General features: G+C 47.1%; 1 pseudogene, besides 6 other annotated features; it reads right to left on the reverse strand.

Moving 5' to 3' along the window:
- Nucleotides 1-2,060: part of a non allelic homologous recombination region, noted in NCBI's record as "sub-region SSN3-SSN6, recombines with sub-region SSN3'-SSN6' within the WBS medial block B recombination region", that runs on past the window's edge. NCBI's record gives the evidence for it as "EXISTENCE:restriction fragment detection evidence [ECO:0001124][PMID:12796854]".
- Nucleotides 1-19,657: part of a biological region, named in NCBI's record as "Williams-Beuren syndrome centromeric block B recombination region", that runs on past both edges of the window. NCBI's record gives its function as "recombination_partner: LOC106029312".
- Nucleotides 2,060-6,544: a non allelic homologous recombination region, noted in NCBI's record as "sub-region SSN6-SSN7, recombines with sub-region SSN6'-SSN7' within the WBS medial block B recombination region". NCBI's record gives the evidence for it as "EXISTENCE:restriction fragment detection evidence [ECO:0001124][PMID:12796854]".
- GTF2IRD2P1 (GTF2I repeat domain containing 2 pseudogene 1) overlaps nt 6,024-19,657 on the reverse strand; it is a 37,369-nt pseudogene continuing 23,735 nt past the window's right edge.
- Nucleotides 6,545-13,237: a non allelic homologous recombination region, noted in NCBI's record as "sub-region SSN7-SSN9, recombines with sub-region SSN7'-SSN9' within the WBS medial block B recombination region". NCBI's record gives the evidence for it as "EXISTENCE:restriction fragment detection evidence [ECO:0001124][PMID:12796854]".
- Nucleotides 10,837-11,825: an enhancer, noted in NCBI's record as "H3K27ac-H3K4me1 hESC enhancer chr7:72661597-72662585 (GRCh37/hg19 assembly coordinates)". NCBI's record gives its function as "activates a minimal SCP1, AML or CMV promoter by ChIP-STARR-seq in primed H9 embryonic stem cells {active_cell/tissue: H9 hESC(primed)}" and the evidence as "EXISTENCE:reporter gene assay evidence [ECO:0000049][PMID:30033119]".
- Nucleotides 13,238-19,657: part of a non allelic homologous recombination region, noted in NCBI's record as "sub-region SSN9-SSN11, recombines with sub-region SSN9'-SSN11' within the WBS medial block B recombination region", that runs on past the window's edge. NCBI's record gives the evidence for it as "EXISTENCE:restriction fragment detection evidence [ECO:0001124][PMID:12796854]".

Below are 19,657 nucleotides of genomic sequence, written 5' to 3' on the forward strand. Positions count from 1 at the left end.
AGAGCGAGACTCCATCTCAAAAAAAAAAAAAAAAAAAAGTAACTTAGGTGCAGGGTGTCCTCTGTTATTCACTGAGACCGTGCCCCGGTTATGAGGTTGTACCAGAAAGCAAGTATTCACTATGCACACTATTCACCGCTCACCCTAGCATTGAAGCCAGCCTGTAGCCTGAAAGCCTTTGCTTTGAGGGCAGGTCTTTCCCCAAAATGCAGACACGAAGGTGCAAAGTGAAGCTGCCAGTCTTGCAAAAGATGTAACTTGTCACGAAGGCCACGAGTGGCAGGGAGAGCTGTCCCACATTTGCGGAAGTGGCTATGTGAGGACGGGGGAGGCGGGTCCCTTAGAGATAAGAGACAATCATAAGGGGAGATATCAGAGAAAATCGTAAGGGGAGCAGATGGTTGTCAAGAGAATAGGCTGACCATCGAAGGACTGGCAGAAGCTTTCAGAAAACCACTGGACGGCTGGGCACAGTGGCTTAGGCCTGTAATCCCAGCACTTTGGGAGGCTGACGCGGGTGAATCACTTGAGGTCAGGAGTTCCAGACCAGCCTGGCCAACATGGTGAAACCCCATCTCTACAGAAAATATAAAAATTAGCCAGGCGTGGTGGCACAAGCCTAGAATCCCAGCTACTCGGGAGGCTGAGGCAGGAGAATGGCTTGAACCCAGGAGTCAGAGGCTGCAGTGAGTCGAGATTGTTCCACTGCACTCCAGCCTGGGTGACAGTGCAAGACTCCTTCTAAAAAAAAAAAGAAAAAAAAAGAAAACCACTGCAGCTCTAAACTAGTTCTGCATTTTTGCCGACCCTGGTTTGCTGGAAAAGCCCAGCACCAAAGGCTATCATACAAAGCTGTGGGAAATTGAATCACCAACCTCACCCCTTCTGCTTGTTCAGTTGCAGTTATAACCCTTTTATTAAATACAGTATAAAATACCACGCCTCTAATCCGAGTGCTCTGGGAGGCCAAGGTGGAAGGATTGCTTGGGGCAGGGAGTTCAAGACCAGCCTGAGCCACACGGTGAGACCCGTCTAGACAAACATTTTAAAAAATTAGACAGGTGTGGTGGTGTGCACCTGTAGTCCCAGGTTGGGTGGGAGGATCGCTTGAGCCCAGGAGTTTGAGGCTGCAGTAAGCTGTGATCGTGCCACTGTACTTCAGCCTGGGTGACAGAGCAAGACCCTGTCTCTTAAAAAAAAAACAAATTAAGGCCAGCCACAGTGTTTCACGCCTGTAATCCCAGCACTTTGGGAGGCCGAGGCAGGCGGATGACTTGAGGCCAGGAGTTCGAGACCAGCTTGGCCAACATGGTGAAAGCTTGTCTCTGCTAAAAATACAACAACAACAAAAAAATTAGCCGGGTGTGGTGGTACACGTCTGTAATCCCAGGTACTCAGGAGGCTGAGGCGGAAGAATCACTTGAACCCGGGAGGCAGAGGTTACAGTGAGCCGAGATCACGCCACCACACTCCAGCCTGGGCGACAGAGCATGACTCTGTCTCAAAAATAAATAAATAAATAAATAAAAATTAAAAAAAATACATACATATAAAAAAGAAGACAAAATACTTATTTTCATGATTGTTTCATTTTTTTCCAAGCTGAGGTCCTGACCAAATGTTTCCCCGTGGTTTTTGTATATTTCTGATCCCCTTAAAGTGGCCCTTGCAGCGTGCTGGGGAGGAGGCCTCTCGGTGGGTGGGTGATTGGGAAGCCACGCCCACAGGGAAGGGAGAAAAAAACTGAAGTTGCCTGCTCTAAGGGCTGCACCTCTGTTTAGCCAACAATTTTCTTGAGGCCAGTCATAGTGCTGGGCTCATTCCATCATCTCCAGTTCTGAGACCAACACTGTCTGGTAGGTGTTTTATGGATGAGGAAACCAAAGCTCATAAAATTAATTAAGTGGTTTGCTTATGAAATAATGCAAGAAAGCAACAGTGCTGGGAGGTGGAACTGGGTTTTTCTTTTCTTCTTCTTTTTTTTTTTGATGGAGTTTCGCTCTTGTCACCTAGGTGGAGTACAATGGAGCGACCTCAGCTCACTGCAACCTCTGCCTCCTGGGTTCAAGTGATTCTCCTGCCTCAGCCTCCCGAGTAGCTGGGATTACAGGTGCCCGCCACCCTGCCCGGCTAATTTTTTGTATTTTTAGTAGAGATGAGGTTTCACCATGTTGGCCAGGCTGGTCTTGAACTCCTGACCTCAGGTAATCCGCCTGCCTTGGCCTTCCAAAGTGGTGGGATTACAGGCATGAGCCACTGCGGCTGGCCCAGGCTTTTCTTTTTGATTCTAAGGCCTTCCAGATCCAGTACTTTATCCTGACCCTGCAGAGCTCAGGATCTGTGGTTCAGGCCTGTGGCTCAGAGGAGGGAATACGGCACACAGGTACGTGCCAGGCCAAGTGTGAGGGGGTCTGGCTTCCAGGGCCCTCTGCAGACCCCTAGTCCCAGGGCCTGTGTTGGAGGAGAGATTGGCTCTTTCCTCTGTCCATCCTGGGATGAGAAGTCGGGGACTTGGGATAGATGCAGTGCAATCCCTGCCCCTGAAAATTGACAAAGACCCACCAAATCTAGCCCCTACTCCTAGGCTGGGCCCCTGCCCATCTCCCTGGACCACACCACTCTCAAGGGCTCTCGTTTGCAGACACCCCATTGCCCTACTAAAAACCTCTCCTGGCCAGGCTTGGTGGCTCACGCCTGTAATCCCAGCACTTTGTGAGGCTGAGTTGGGTGGATCACCTGAGGTCAGGAGTTCCAGATCAGCCTGGCCAACATGGTGAAACCCCGTCTCTACTAAAAATACAAAAATTAGCTGGGTGTGGTGGGGGGCGCCTGTAATCCCAGCTGCTCGGGAGGCTGAGGTAGGAGAATTGCTTGAACTCGGGAGGCAGAGGTTACAGTGAGCTGAGATCGTGCCACTGCGCTCCAGCCTGGGCAACCGAGCAAGACTCCGTCTCAAAAAAACAAACGAAAAACCTTTCCCAGCCATTCAGTCATTCCCACAGTCTCAACTCAGTCCTATGAGTGACAGTGCATGTCAGTGGCCATCATATCTCAAGCCATCCTGGTCCCAACACACATTCCTGGGGCCTTGGGAATTGATTCAAAGCAGAACAGCTTCATGAATGGTCCGGCCAACAGGAGGCAGCTTAGGCTGAGCCCTACTGTCCCCTCCCTATCATCTGATTGGTGGACCACCAGGGAGCCACACACATGACAGATGATGAGGGCAGAGGCTGCATGACAGATACCTGCTGGGTCTCCATGTCAGGCACAGTGGCTGCTTAGGAATGAAGCACATGGGTCAGGTGTCGTGGCTCACACCTGTGATCCCAGCACTTTGGGAGGCCAAGGCGGGTGGATCACTTGAGGTCAGGGGTTCAAGATCAGCCTGGCCAACATGGTGAAACCCCGTCTCTACTAAAAAATACAAAAATTATTCGGTTGTGGTGGCGCATGCCTGTAGTCCCAGCTACTCGGGAGGCTGAGGCACGAGAATCACTAGAACCCGAGAGGCGGAGGTTGCACTGGGCCAAGATCACACCACTGCACTCCAGCCTGGGCGACAGAGCGACACTCCATCTCAAAAACAAAAAGTGAAGCACATGGACTTTGGAGTCACATGGACCCTGGTTTGAATCCTGACAACTCCTATAATGGCTGCGTGACCTGGAGCGAGCCACTTAGCCACTCTGAGCTTCAGCTTCCCGTCTATGAAAGGGGGCTGCTCTGGTCCTGCTGCTCGGCCACACCTCTGATATGTGGTGTGAACGAGTGCTCACTTCCACCAAGACCTGGACTCCCCTCCAACTCCCGTTATAAACCAGCCTATCTGGGATTCCTTCTCCAAAAGAGCGCTGAGCTTGCCAGAGCCAGCTGTACCTGAAGTCAACGACAGGAACTGCCTGGAGTGGGGTCATTTCCCTGTGTCTAAGGATAGGCACCTGGGCTCCAACTGGGCTCCTGGCCTGGGGGTTGCTCTCTCCCTCCTGCACCCCCTGTCATTTTTATCAAAGTCCTTTTCTCCATTGCTTCCTGAGTGGGTCATTAGGTGGAGATCCACAGCCTTCCTCCACGCTGGTCGCGTGAATTCCCCCAATCTGGAAAGTATTCACAATTTTGTGTCACTAATTCCAGTGACTAATAGAGATTACACACACACACACCTTCAAATGACAACCTGCCAGGAGAAAAATGCTATAAAGGGAAAGATATCACTTTGGGAAGCTGAGGCGAGTAGATCGCTTGAGCCTGGAAGTTTGAGACCAGCCTGGGCAACAAAGGGAGACCCTGTCTCTACAAAAAAAAAAAAAAAAAACTCCACAAAAATTAGCTGGGCATGGTAGCATGCACCTGTAGTCCCAGCTACTTGGAAGGCTGAGGTGGGAGGATCACTTAAACCCAGGAAGCAGAGGTTGCAGTAAGCCAAGGTCGCACCACTGCACTCCAGCCTGGGTGACAGAGCGAGCCCATTTCCTTGTTTCCAAAAATAAAAAAGGGAAAGATATTATTGGGTCAACAGGGAAAACTAGAGTATGAACAGTAAACTGGATAAAATAATTGCAACAACGTTCAATTTACTGAAGTTGGTAAAGGAAAGGTTATTGTGTAAGAGAATATCCCTGTTCTCTGAAAATACTCACTGAAGTATTTAGGGGTAAATGATATACGTAACTTTCCCTTGAACGGTCCAGGAAAAAAATGCACATCCATTTATACACATATCATAGATACTCATAGACATTTGCTTATACACACTTACCATAGGTACTGATTATAGATACACATACACACATATGAGTGAGAGGGAGAAGGAGGGAAGGGGGTAGGGAGACAAAGTGATCCAATAATGAAACAAGGGTGAAATGTTAACAATTGAGAGTCTGGCTAAAGGGCATGTGAGTATTTTCCATACTATTTTTATTTTTGCAACTTTTCTTTTTTTTTTTTTTGAGACAAAGTCTCACTCTGTCACCCAGGCTGGAGTGCAATGGCACAATCTCGGCTCACTGCAACCTCTGTCTCCTGGGTTCAAGTGATTCTCCTGCCTCAGCCTCCTGAGTAGCTGGGATTACAGGCACGTGCCACCATACCCGGCAAATTTTTGTGTTTTTAGTAGAGACAGGGTTTCACCATGTTACCCAGGCTGGTCTCGAACTCCTGACCTCAAGTGATCCACCCACCTTGGCCTCCCAAAGTGCTGGGATTACAGGTGTGAGCCACATGCTTGGCCACAACTTTTCGGTAACTATTCATAGTAAAAAACAAACAAAAAAAACCCTCTAAACCTTAACTTACTTTGTCTAACTTTTATAGACAAAGTCTACGTTATTTGCTCTGGGGCTTTCCATTTTAAACCTGACCTTTCTGGCTCTGGGTTTTTCCATTTTAAACCTGACCTTTCTGGTTCCAGGTGAAGGCAGAGACAGATAAAATAGGATTATTGTATGTCAGTATGTTTTCAACTATTTCTCCTGAAACTTGGAAACGTATTAGACCATGTGGGATACCACGCGGACGGGAACGGGGGATAAATGTGTGTTCATATATACTCCTCCACAAATATACATGTCTCAGGCTGGGCGCAGTGGCTCACGCCTGTAATTCCAGCACTTTGGGAGGCCAAGGCCGGCAGATCACTTGAGGTCAGGAGTTTGTGACCAGCCTGGCCAACATGGTGAAACCCTATCTTTACTAAAAATACAAAAATGAGCCGGGCGTGGTGGTGGGCACCTGTAACCCCGGCTACTCGGGAGGCTGAGGCAGGGGAATCACTTGAACCCGGGAGGCAGAGGCTGCAGTGAGCCCAGATCGCCCCATTGTACTCCAGCCTGGGTAACAGAGTGAGACTCCGTCTCAAAAAAAGAACCCCCAAAACCAAAAAGCAAATATACACGTCTCTCTCCCTATTTCTCTGTTGATTGATTTAAACTTCAAGATGCCAACTACAGTGCCTATCAGGGTGGCAGGCAGGTAATGTGAATGAATGAAACAAGCCAGGCATAAGAAAAGTCAACTACCAATAATACAATAAAACTTTCTTGATTTTTAATGAATAGTGAGGCATACAATGTAATATAAACAAGTATGATACTGCAGATTATATTTCTGATTCAAAGTGGAAAAAAAACTGAAAAAAAAAAAGTTTAAGAACTCATTTCGTCAGCTGGGCACAGTGGTTCATGCCTGTAATCCCAGCACTTTGTGAGGTCGAGGCAGGTGGATCACCTGAGGTCAGGAGTTGGAGACCAGCCTGGCCAACATGGTGAAACCTCATCTCTACTAATACAAAAATTAGCCGGGCATGGTGGCGCACGCCTGTAGTCCCAGCTGCTCGGGAGGCTGAGGCAGGAGAATCGTTCGAACCCAGGAGCTGGAAGTTGCAGTAAGCCGAGATCACGCCACTGCACTCCAACCTGGGCGACAGAGCAAGACTCCATCTCAAAAAAGAAAAAAAAATTCATTTTGTCATCTCCCAATCCCTTGGGACTAGAAGACTCCAGCCTTTCCCACCATAGGGCCCTGCCAGGAGTTTTCTCTCCATCGCGTTGCGATGTGGAGTACAGAATCCCACTGGGAATCCTTTAACTGGGAGCAGTATTTTGTTTTGCTCAGTTTCATAATGGAGAACAGCTGTTCGCAGATGTAGGTGCTCCCGAACATGGAAAGAATCTTTGCGCAATGGTGCTTGTATTTCGGGTAGCTACCCCAGAGGTACTTGTAGAATTCTGGTATTCCCACCTTGTCGTATTTCGTCTTCAGGACCGCGTTGCATTGCAGGTCGATAACCTCCATCTGGAGCTCCTCGTGCACACTGTCGATCTTCGTGGAGAACGGGGAGCTGAACAGAGTCAGTTCGCTTTCGTAGAGTTTGAAATCAGACAGCCTTTTCTGGAATTCGGTCTTGAGTTCCGCGATTTTGGGAATGTAGTTCAGGCCATCGCTTTCATTTCTGGAAACCAATTTCAGGGTGGGAAAGTGGGCCAGATTATTCCTCGTCAAGTGAGTCTCCCAGAGGCACAGTTTTGCTAGGAACACCCGGATCAGGTCATACATCTGCGTGACGATTTGGGAGTGTCCTTGGAGAGAGATGTTCAAAGTGTTCAGATGCATCGTCATGTCAACCAAGAAGGCCAGGTCTCGGATCCAATCTATGGAGCTCAGTTGAGGCAGGGGTTTCCCTCTGGATGACATGAAGGAGTCGATTTCTTCCAAGGATTCGAAAAATCTCTTTAGCACGAGCCCGCGACTGAGCCACTTAATCTCCGTGTAGTACAGGAGGCTACCATACTGGCTGTCCAGCTCATAGAGCAAGGTTGTGAACTCGCTGTGGTTCAGTCCCCGGGAGCATATCCAGTTCACGGACTTCACTACCACGTCCATGACGTGGTCCATCTTCAACTTCTGAGCACAGAGTGATTTCGGATGAATTATACAACAGATGGACTTCAGTTCCGCACCCTTGCAGAACGTCGCCACCCTGGACTTCAGTTTTGTAACAAGCCCGTTATTGGCATCCACCATCGCTGGGGTGCCAGTGGAGGCCACGCTTACTAATTTCGACCAGTCGATACAGAACTTTTTCAGGCTCTTCTCAACACGCGAAAAGATCTCGTTTCCAGATTTTGTACCCGTCGTGGGCACCGTATCCAGAAGTTCTTCGGACACATCGAAATTCTCATCGACACCACGGATGAATATGGCCAACTGGGTGGTATTATTTATATCGGTGATCTCATCGATTGCGATAGAATATGCCACAAAAGACCTGATTTTTTCACGTAACTTCTCCCATAAGTTCCCAGCTAGGTCCTCTACAGGCTGCACGGGGGATTTCTGGGTTGGACTTGGGTTTGCAAACACTTGTTTTTGCTCGGGACACTCGGTGTCTGACGAGCCTAAGAGATACTTCCTGAGCCCTTTTTTCAGCTCGTGAAGCTTCTCGTCACGCATTCTTTCCGTATACTGGTCATAATGCTTGCTGTGATTGGTTTGATAGTGGCGTCTTAGGTTATATTCTTTGGACACAGACATGCTTTGTTTGCATATGAGACATGTTGGAATATTCTGTACTTCCACGAAGAAAAATGCTCTCTCCCACTTTTCTTGAAACACACGGCCCTCCTGGTCTATCTTGCATTTTCCCACTTTTGACAGAGACAGGGAGACAAAGATATTTCACTTTTCTCTTATCACTACTATGAGGAAAACAACAGCAAATGCTTGATGACGCACGAGAGGGAGGAAGCGGGGCGGGGCAGGGCGTGGTTAACAGGAGGGTGACCCACCCTGCAGAGGGACGGCTGACCATCAACTCCAGCAAACCGCTGCCAGGACGCCAGCTGTGGCCAGATCTTCAAGTTTTCTAAAGAAAACCTGAAGACTGAATTTTTGTTGTCGTTGTTGTTGAGACGGAGTTTTGCTCTGTCACCCAGGCTGCAGTGCAGTGGCGCAATCTCGGCTCACTGCAACTTCTGCCTCCTGGGTTCAAGCGATTCTTCTGCCTCAGCCTCCTGAGTAGCTGTTATGACAGGTGCCTGCCACCACGCCCAGCTAATTTTTGTATTTTTAGTAGAGATGAGATTTCACCATGTTGTCCAGGCTGGTCTCGAACTCCTGACCTCAGGTGATCCGCCCACCTCAGCCTCCCAAAGTGCTGGGATTACAGGCATGAGCCACTGCACCCAGCCAGATCTTCAGGTTTTCTAAAGAAAACCTGAAGATTGACTTTTATGAAAGAGTGCCTGGTTTGTGGTGATAATGGCTCACTGCAGCCTGGAACTCCCTGGGCTCAGGTGATCCTCCCACTTCAGCTCCCAGTTGCTGGGACTACAGGCATGCACCACACTGAGCTATCTTTTCTTTCTTTCTTTCTTTTCTTTTTTTCTTTTTCTTTTTTTTTTTTTCTTTTTTTGTAGAGCTGGAGTCTTACCTTGTTGCCTAGGCTGGTCTGAAACCCCAGGCTCAAGCGATCCACCCGCCTTGGCCTCCCAAAGTGCTGGGATTATAGGAGCCACTGTGCCAGGCCTCATCCTTATTTTCAAAAGTACATGAGCCAAACAAAAGACACCTTTGATGAGGTTCAGCATGTAGCTGTGCTTGTTATGTCCAGTTTAAACAGGAATTATTTGATAATATGTTTGCATTTTCTTTTTAGAGACAGGGTCTTGTTCTGTCACCCAGGCTGGAGTGTAGTATTGCAATTATGGTTCTCTGCTGTCTCAAACTCCTGGGTTTAAGTGATCCTCCTGCTTTAGCCTGCCAAGTAGCTGGGGCTACAGGTGTGAGCCACTGTGTCCAGCTAATTTTTAAATTTTTTGTAGAGATGGGGTCTTGCTATGTTGCCCAGGCTGGTCTCAAACTCCTGGCCTCAAGCAATCCTCTTGCCTTGGCCTCCAAAAGTCCTGGGATTATACGTGTGAGCATTTTAATATATTTTCTCATTTGATTCCCAAGAAAACTTTGTAATAACAGAGATGGGAATGAGCACAGAAAGGCATATGATTTTTACCTACTGTGAGTCTCAAATGACAAGGGTGACGGCCACAGATCCACACAAAACTCATTCATATAAGTGTGTTCGAGTGTACAGGGGCTAGTGTTTTAGATTTAAAGAACCTGGCCACGCTGCAGGTAATCAAGGTATTTCCAGAGTACACACACATAAAAGTGCACCTTAAGAAAATGTAGGCCATGTACAGCGGCTCATGCCTATAGTCCCAGCACTTTGGGAGGCTGAGGCAGGAGGATCGCTTGAAGCCAGAAGCTCAAGGCCAGCCTGGGAAACATAGTGAGACCCTGTCTCTACAAAAAAAAAAAAAAAATTATCTGGGCATGGCAGTGCTGTCCCAGCTACTCGGGAGGTGAAGGTGGGAGAATCACCTGAGGGCAGGAGTTCCAGGCTGCAGTGAGCTATGATCATGCCACTGCACTCCAGCCTGGGTGACAGAGTGAGACCTTGTCTCTAAAAAACCCCAATAATAATACAATAAATAAATAAAGATATTATAAAAGATCAAAAAATCATTTAGCAATCAGATGCGTTTGGGAATAAAAATGGAGCATTTTAATAGGATACTTTGGTTTTCTTTTCTTTTCTTTTTTTTTTTTTTTTTGAGACAGAGTCTTGCTCTGTCACCAAACTGGAGTGCAGTGGCACGATCTCGGCTCACTGCAACCCCCGACTCCCTGGTTCAAGTGATTTTCCTGCCTCAGCCTCCCGAGTAGCTGGGATTATAGGCACGCGCCACCATGCCCGGCTAATTTTTGTATTTCTAGTAGAGACGGAGTTTCACCACGTTGTACAGAAGGGTCTCCATCTCCTGACCTCATGATCCGCCCGCCTCGGCCTCCCAAAGTGCTGGGATTACAGGTGTGAGTCACCGCGCCCAGCCTACTTTGGTTTTCAAATGTTACATTAGGAGGTTCCCTGGTGACTCATGCTCGTGAGAACACCTCTCCGTATTCTACTTGACAGGATACTGACTCACTTGCAAGGGCTCCGGGGAAGACATTAAGAATATTTAACAGGGTGGGGGCGGGTAGGGGGAGGGAGAGCATCAGGAAGAATAGCTAATGCATGCTGGGCTTAACACCTAGGTGATGGGTTGATAGGTGCAGCAAATCACCATGGCACACATTTACCTATGTAACAAACCTGCACATCCTGAACATGGACCCTAGAACTTAAAATAAAAGTTGAAGGGGAAAAAAAAGAGAATATTTCAGAAGCAGAGTGCCTGGGCATTGCTCAATCAGAACAGATGCTGAGCCAGGTGCAGTGGCTTACATCTGTAATCCCAGCAGTTTGGGAGACCAAGGAGGGTGGATCACTTGAGGTCACGAGTTTGAGACCAGCCTGGCCAACATGGCTAAACCCTGTCTCTACTAAAAAATACAAAAAGTAGCTGGATGTGGCGGCACGCACCTGTAATCCCAGCTAATCGGAAGGCTGAGGCAGAGAATCGCTTGAACCCGGGAGGCGGAGGTTGCAGTGAGCCGAGATCTTGCCACTGCACTCCAGCCTGGGTGAGAGAGCGAGACTCTGTCTCAAAAAAAAAAAAGAACAGATGCTAGTCTCAGCACTGGAAGGGTTCTAGGGGCCTCTGCTGTGCCAGGTGGAACTCCTTTTGCTTCAGCACTGTAGGGAGGTCAAGCCACGGTCGGAGGGTACTAGGGTGGGACTGCATGGCCAGGCAGGCACTATTTACCAACACAGAGGAGATCGGTACTGTGATCCTGAGTGCAGCTGTGCGGGTGGCCTCAGGGGAGCCCCCACCACAAAGCACACTTGAATAGTGTGCCACATCAGCCATGCGTGGTGGCTCATGCCCGTAATCCCAGCACTTTGAAAGGTGGAGGCGGGCGGATCCCTTGAGGTCAGAAGTTCGAGACCAGCCTGGCCAACATGGCAAAACCCCATCTCTACTAAAAATACAAAAATTAGCCAGGCGTGGTGGCACACGCCTATAGTCCCAGCTACTCGGGAGGCTGAGGCAGGAGAATCACTTGAACCTGGGAGGCGGAGGTTGTGTGGTGAGCCGAGATTGTGCTGCACTCTAGCCTGGGTGACAGAGCGAGACTCTGTCTCCAAAAAAAAAAAAAAAGAGTGCGCCACATCACACGTCACACTCATGGTGTGATATAGATCACTCTCCTTCAGACTGGTTAATCAAACTCAAGTAACAGAGTTATCTAACTTTATCACATGCAGGAAAAATAAAGCATGCATCGAAGGCTGCATACTTGGGTCCCAGGCTCACGGAAGCAAAAACCCCGTGGTGAGCGCCCACCAAGACACTTCCCATGGCCCAACATTGCCGGAACGTTCTTCTCACCTGTAGAATACTCACCATTACTGAGCTCAAGCCCTGGAAGCGGCCTGAAGAGAAAGACACATTGATAAATGCGACAAGCTCACGTTTCCTCTTTTGCCCACTTAGTTTTATTTTTTTTTAATTTTTACTTATTTATTTTTTTACAGAAGAATATTTATTTATTTGTTTGTTTTGTTTTTGTTTTTTTTGAGACAAGAGTCTCGCTGCGTCACCCAGGCTGGAGTGCAGTGGCGCGATCTCGGCTTAGCGCAACCTCCGCCTCCTGGGTTCAAGCCATTCTCCTGCCTCAGCCGCCTGAGTAGCTGGGATTACAGGTGCCCGCCACCACGCCCAGCTAATTTTTTGTATTTTTAGTTTCACCATGTTGGCCAGGCTACTCTTGAACTCCTGACATCAGGAGATCTACCTACCTTGGCCTCCCAAAGTGCTGGGATTACAGGCATGAGCCACTGCGTTGAGCCTTTTGTTTTTGTTTTTTTTGAGACGGAGTCTCACTCCATCACCCAGGCTGGAGTGCAGTGGTGTCATCTGGGCTCACTGCAACCTCCGCATTCCAGGTTCAAGTGATTCTCCTGAGTAGCTGGGATTACAGGCACGTACCACTACACCCAGCTAATGTTTATTTTTAGTAGAGATGGAGTTTCACCATGTTGGCCAGGCTGGTCTCAAACTCCTGACCTCAAATGATCCACCTGCCTCAGCCTCCTAAAATGCTGGGATTACAGGCCTGAGCCACCATGCCCAGCCTATTTATTTATGTTTTGAGATGGAGGCTCATTCTGCTGCCCAGGCTGGAGTGCAGTGGTGCCATCTCAGGTCACTGCAACCTCCACCTCCCAGGTCAAGTGATTCTCACGCCTCAGCCTCCTGAGTAGCTGGTATTAGAGGCGCACGCCACCACACCCGACTAATGTTTGTATTTTCAGTAGCAACGGGGTTTCACCATGTTGGCCAGGCTTGCCTCATACTCCTGACCTCAGGCGATCTGGCCCGCCTCAGCCTCCCAAAGTGCTGGGATTACAGGCGTGAGCCACCGTGCCTGGCCCCACTTAGTTTTATTGGACAAATTTTTGCAGAGTGTTAACTCTACGCTAGGTGCTGGGTGAGCTAAAACTGGGACGGGCTGCCCATGATCACCGAGGAACAGGGACATGGACACATCTCAAGGAAGCAGAAGATGATGAAGTCAGTGTGAGAGGCAGCATGGCCCAGCGGTCAGCTGCGGGAACAAACCCCCAGCCCAAGTCATGGGACAGACATTCCTGGGCAGCCACATGCCCACCTCGGGCAAGTCAGAGTCTCCAGATTCCTTCTCTTGACTCACTTACCTGATGACTGTGAATTTGATAAACTCAGCTGCCTCCAAGATCCTCCTCATGGAACTGATTTCCAGATAGCCGGGGTCCTTGAATACCACCCCCGGGGGCATGCCATCAATCACCACACAGCCAGGGTTGAATGTGATCTTCCTGTAGGGAACTTTCACAGGGAAATCCACGCCAATTGCTTCACCTGTGACGGGATGAGCAGCATAAAACCAGCTGAGTTTGGCTGGGCACGGTGGCTCACACCTGTAATCCCAGCCCTCTGGGAGACTGAGGCGGGTGAATCACTTGAGGCCAGGAGTTCGAGACCAGCCTGGCTAACATGGTGAAACCCTGTCTCTACTAAAAATACAAAAATTAGCTGGGCGTGGTGGCGCATGCCTGTAATCCCAGCCACATGGGAGGGACCCAGGAGGCAGAAGTTGCAGTGAGCCGAGATCGCCCCACTGCACTCCAGCCTGAGAGACAGAGCGAGACCCTGCCTCAAAACAAAACAACACAAAACAAAACAACAAATTAAAAAAACAACAACACAAATAAAACTAGCTGAGTTTGTTCCTTACATTTCCTAAACCAGGATTTATCTTTAATGTCAGGATTTAGAAGCATCAAATGACAATACTTATGATCAGTCATTTTATTTTCCAGTGCTACTATGATGTGTGAATATAATTTTAAAAGTTTGGAATTAGCATGGGTAGTAGGCAAACTCAGTTTCTCCATCCATTACACAGGGTTATCATGGCGCCTACCTGAAAGGTTTTATGTAAGGATTAAATGATCAAACACATGTTGAGCACAAAAAATAATACACAAGGTAAGCACTCAGTAAAACAAAGATAGCTATTATTATTATTATTGTAATTAGTCAATGATACCATGCAAAAGCTCTTCTGTAAAAAGACATATTGACTAATTTTTATCATAGCTCTTTCACAAAAAGATCAATTTCTTTTTTTTTTTTTTTTTTTTGAGACAGGGTCTTGCTCTGTCGCCCAGGCTGGAGTGCAATAGCGCGATCTAAGCTCACTGCAACCTCTGCCTCCCAGTTACAACCAATTCTCGTGCCTCAGCCTCCTGAGTAGCTGGGATTACAGGTGTGCGCCACCACACCCGGCTAATTTTTTGTATTTTTAGTAGAGATGGGATTTTGCCATGTTGGCCAGGCTGGACTTGAACTCCTGGCCTCAAGTGATCCACCCACCTTGGCCTCCCAAAGTGCTGGGATTAAAAGTGTGAACCACTGCGCCCAGCCAAGATCAAATTCTTATAAGATAAAGTTTTGTTTTTTTTCCTTTTGTAGACCTGGGGTGTCACTTTGCTGCCCAGGCTGGTCTCAAACGCCTGGGCTCAAGTGATTCTCTAGCCTTAGCCTCCTAAAGTGCTAGGATTACAGGTATGAGCCAATGCACCTGGCCAAGTATTCTTTTAAAAAGAAGTATTTTAGGTATATGAATTCTGGATATAAAAAGATATAAAAACTTACCAAATTTTCGGCTAAAGAGGTCATTAACTTGTTCTCTTAGCTGTTTAATCTTTTCAATGCTTGATAATCTTTCCTTCTCATTATCTAAAAATAATTAAACAAATAAACAAACCAAGGTTATTAATGTATTTTCTCCCAAGAAAGCTGTTGGGAGAAATGCCTGTTAGCACCCGAGAAAGTGCTTTACCTGGATTGTTATTCAGTCTACTTTTAGCAATAATTAAGCATCTTGGAAATTTGGAAATGGAAGCCATTACAGACAATAGAGAATTTTCCAAATTATAACCCTATATAAACATACTACATACTACTTTTAAGGAATATTTTCAATATCATACAAGACAAGGATGTTTAGGGCCAGGCGCGGTGGCTCACGCCTGTAATCCCAGCACTTTGGGAGGCCGAGGCAGGTGGATCACGAGGTCAGGAGATGGAGACCATCCTGGCTAACATGGTGAAACCCCGTTTCCACTAAAAATACAAAAATTTAGCTGGGCATGGTGGCAGGCGCCTGTAGTCCCAGCTACTCGGGAGGCTGAGGCAGGAGAATGGTGTGAACCCAGGAGACGGAGCTTGCAGTGAGCCGAGATCGCACCACTGCACTCCAGCCTGGGTGACAGAGCAAGACTCCGTCTCAAAAAAAAAAAAAAAAAAAGACAAGGATGTTTACTTTCACCACCACTTTTCGGCCTTAAAATAGAAATCTCAGCCAATGAAATATGACAAGTAAAAGGAATAAGAGGTACTAGGATTAGAAGGTAAGGTATATTTTTATTTTCTTTCCTTTTTTTCCTCTCTTTTTTTTTTTGTTTGTTTTGTTTTGTTTTGTTTTGAGGCTGAGTTTTGCTCTTGTCACCCAGGCTGGAGTACAATGGTACAATCTTGGCTCACTGCAAACTCCTGGGTTCAAGCAATTCACTGCACCCCTCCTGGGTTCAAGCAATTCTCCTGCCTCAGCCTCCCAAGTAGCTGGGATTACAGGCACCCACCACCACACCCAGCTGATTTTTGTATTTTTAGTAAAGATGGGGTTTCACCATGTTGGCCAGGCTGGTCTCGAACTCCTGACCTCAGGTGATCCACCTGCCTCAGCCTCCCAAAGTGCTGGGATTACAGGTGTGAGCCACCGCACCCGGTCTGTTTTTCTTTTCTTTTTGTTTTTTAGAGACAGAGTCTCACTGTGCTGTGCAGGCTGGTCTCAAACTCCTGGGCTCAAGTGATCCTCCTGCCTCAGCTTCCCAAAGTGCTGAGATTACAGGCACATGCCACCATGCCTGGTCCTTTTTTTTTGTTTTTATTTTTTAGATATTTTTCAACACTTTAAAACTTTATTTACTTTTGAATAACTAAAGCAATCACATGGCTCAACATTCAAGAGGAGTAATATACAGAAACATCTCAAACGTCTCTCTCCTATCCCTATCTCAGCGGTCAGTTTCCTTCCCTGGAGGAACTATGTAATTAGATTCTCTTGTATCTTTCCAGATATATTTTACATACAAATATTCAGAAAAGAAGATTATTATTATTATTATTATTTATTTTTTTGAGACAGAGTCTCGCTCTGTCGCCCAGGCTGGAGTGCAGTGGAGTGATCTCCGTTCACTGCAAGCTCCGCCTCCCAGGTTCACGCCATTCTTCAGCCTCAGCCTCCCGAGTAGCTGGGACTACAGGTGCTCGCCACCACACCCGGCTAATTTTTTTTGTATTTTTAGTAGAGACAGGGTTTCACCGTGTTATCCAGGATGGTCTCGATCTCCTGACCTCGTGATCTGCCCGTCTTAGCCTCCCAAAGTGCTGGGATTACAGGCGTAAGCCACCGTGCCCGGCCAGAAGATTGTTAATGATGAGCAACAAAACATTTCACCTCTGTGGCCAATTCCAATTCAACCATAGCTGGTGCTCCATGCTGCCTGCTCTGAGATGCATTTTCCAGGTAATGCCCGGGCTTGTCCAGGAGAAGCAAAATATCCGATTAATAATGTCTGATGTGAGCAAGATGCTCGTTGTGTAGCAACTTGCAGAATATTTTATATTCCCAAAATGTCATTTCTTAGCTATCAGGGTGAACTAAGTGAAAAATGACAGGTCCAAGAGACCACCCTATGTCAAAAAATAATTAAGACAAAAGGAAAAATGTAACATTAGTCCATACCTGGAACAGTCACTTGAACGATGTTAAGATCTTCAACACCTGCTGCAGAATTTGTAACACTGGATGAATTTGTGTTTCCTTAAAACAGAAGTTGAAGTTTAGAATTTACCAAGAATAAGACCAATTCTCCTTTAAATATGTCTAAGTGCTGCTTTGATCAGAAGCCCAGACTGAATTTTTTTTTTCTTTTTTTTTTTTTGAGACAGGTTCTTACTCTGTCATTCAGGCTGGAGTGCAGTGGTGTGATCCTAGCTCACTGCATCCTCGACCTCCCATGGTCAAGTGATCCTCCCACCTCAGCCTTTTGAGTAGCTGGGACCACAGACATGCACCATCATGCTTGGCTAATTTTTTTTTTTTTTTTTTGAGACTGAGTCTATCACCCAGGCTGGAGTGCAGTGGTGTGATCTCGGCTCACTGCAACCTTTGCCTCCCAGGTTCAAGTGATTCTCGTGCCTCAGCCTCCTGAGTAGCTGGGATTACAGACACCCACCACCATGCCCAGTTAATAATTGTATTTTTTTTTTAGTAGAGACGGAGTTTCACCATGTTGGTCATGCTGGTTGAGAACTCCTGACCTCAAGTGATTCACCTACCTGGGCCTCCCAAAGTGCTGGGATTACAGGCTTGAGCCACCACGCCCGGCTCTAATTTTTGTATTTTTAGTAGAGACAGAGTTTCGCCATGTTGGCCAGGCTGGTCTTGAACTCCTGGCCTCAAGGGATTCACCCACCTGGGTCTCCCAAAGTGCTGGGATTACAGGTGTGAGCCACCCACCACGCCAGCCTTAAATCACACTTTCAACTTCACTTCCTTTAGATACTTGCACTTCAACTGAGTTCACCGGCTGCAGGCCTGCGGAGTTACCTTTGATATTTATCTGTCCACTCCAGTAGCAAAGGGGCTATGTCTGAGTGAATCGTCCTTTTCTTTCCATTCTCCCCCCTTATGTACCCTCAACCCTTCATTCTTTCCTCACGTGAACACAGCACAGTTGAGGCCCAGTTGTGGGTCAGTGCTAACGTGCAAGACTTAAAAAAAAATTTTTTTTTAATTTTTATTTTTAGAGATGGAGTCTTGCTCTGTTGACCATGCTGGAATGCAGGGGCATAATCACAGCTCACTGCAGCCTCAAAATCCTGGGCTCAAGCGATCCTCCCACCTCAGCCTCCCAAGTAGCTGAGACTACAGATGCATGCCACCATCCATGGCTGATATTTTTGTTAGTTTGTTTCGAGGCAGGATCTCACTCCCATCACCCAGGCTGGAGTATTGTGGCACAATTATGGCTCACTGCAGCCTCGACTTCCCTGGGCTCAGGTGATTGGCCCACCTCAGTCTCCCAAATAGCTGGGACTACAGGTGTGTGCCACCATGCCCTGCTAACTTTTTGTATTTTTAGTAGAGACAGGGTTTCACTATGCCCAATTTGGTCTCAAACACCTGGGATCAAGTGATCTGCCCACCTCAGCCTCCCAAAATGCTGGGATTACAGGCGTGAACCACTGTGCCTTGCCTAACTTTTTCTTAATGTTTACTTTTTGCAGAGATAGTCTCACTATGTTGCCCAGTCTGATCTAGAACTCCAGGGTTCAAATGATCTTCTTGCCTTGGCCTCACAAAGTGCTGGGAATACAAGCATGCACCATCATGCCTAGTTATTATTTTTCTTTTCTTTCTAATTTTTTTTTGCACAGCTAATTATGTTGTCTACAACACCTCAAAGCACTGGGCCCTAATGGGAATGGCTGCTCTATTATATATACACATTATACTACATCAGAGATTTCAATCTCTTCCCCACAATTTTTTTTTTTTTTAGATGGAATCTCGCTCTGTCACCCAGGCTGGAGTACAGTGGTGAGATCTCAGCTCACTGCAACCTCCGCCTCTCAGGTTCAAGCGATCCTCCTGTCTCAGCCTCCCAAGTAGCTGGAAATACAGACATGCACCACCACGCCTGGCTAATTTTGTATTTTTAGTAGAGACAGGGTTTCGCCATGTTTCCCAGGCTGGTCTCAAACTCCTGGGCTCAAGCAATACACCTGCCTTGGCCTCCCAAGGTGCTGGGATTACAGGCTTGAGCCACTGAGCTCTGCCATCCTCCCTGCAATTAATCCTGTTAGAAAGAATGAAAACCATACTTGGCAATGGGGCTTTGGGCAACTAACCTTCGATTTTCACCTCGGCTTCAGGGTCCTCATTTGGTTCTTCTGAAGGGACCAGCGGAGTGGAATCTTGAAAAAAAAATGTCTAAAATGACATTCATTATTAAGTATTCTCCTCATATTCCAACACATTAATGCTCCTATACCAAAAAAGTAGCTTATCCTGGCATTTTAAATATATTTCATATATAAATAATATAAACATAATTTTAATTTTATAAGCAATAATAATAGGATAATAAACAGTAACTGGGCCGGGCACGGTGGCTCGCACCTGTAATCCCAGCACTTTTGGGAGGCCGAGGTGGGCGCATCACTTGAGGTCAGGAGTTGAAGACCAGCCTGGGCAACATGGTGAAACCCCAACTCTATTAAAAATACAAAAATTATCCAGGCGTGGTGGCGCACACCTCTAATCCCAGCTACTCAGGAGGCTGAGGAAGGAGAATTGCTTCAGCCCGGGAGGTGGAGGCTGCAGTGAGCCAAGGTCGCGACACACTGCACTCCAGCCTGGGTGACAGGGTGAGATTCTGTCTCAAAAAAAAAAAAAAAACAGAATCATTTTGGTAGTCCATGTGTCACTATCTCTCTAAGGCAGATATTACAACTAAAAGTAAGATCACATTGCCTGTAAATGGCAAAGATGTCCCACGCCACTAGGTTTGGAAAGGAAATCTTTATTATTATTA

The sequence above is a fragment of the Homo sapiens genome, chromosome 7 (assembly GCF_000001405.40).
Source record: "Homo sapiens chromosome 7, GRCh38.p14 Primary Assembly".
Lineage (NCBI taxonomy): Eukaryota > Metazoa > Chordata > Mammalia > Primates > Hominidae > Homo > Homo sapiens.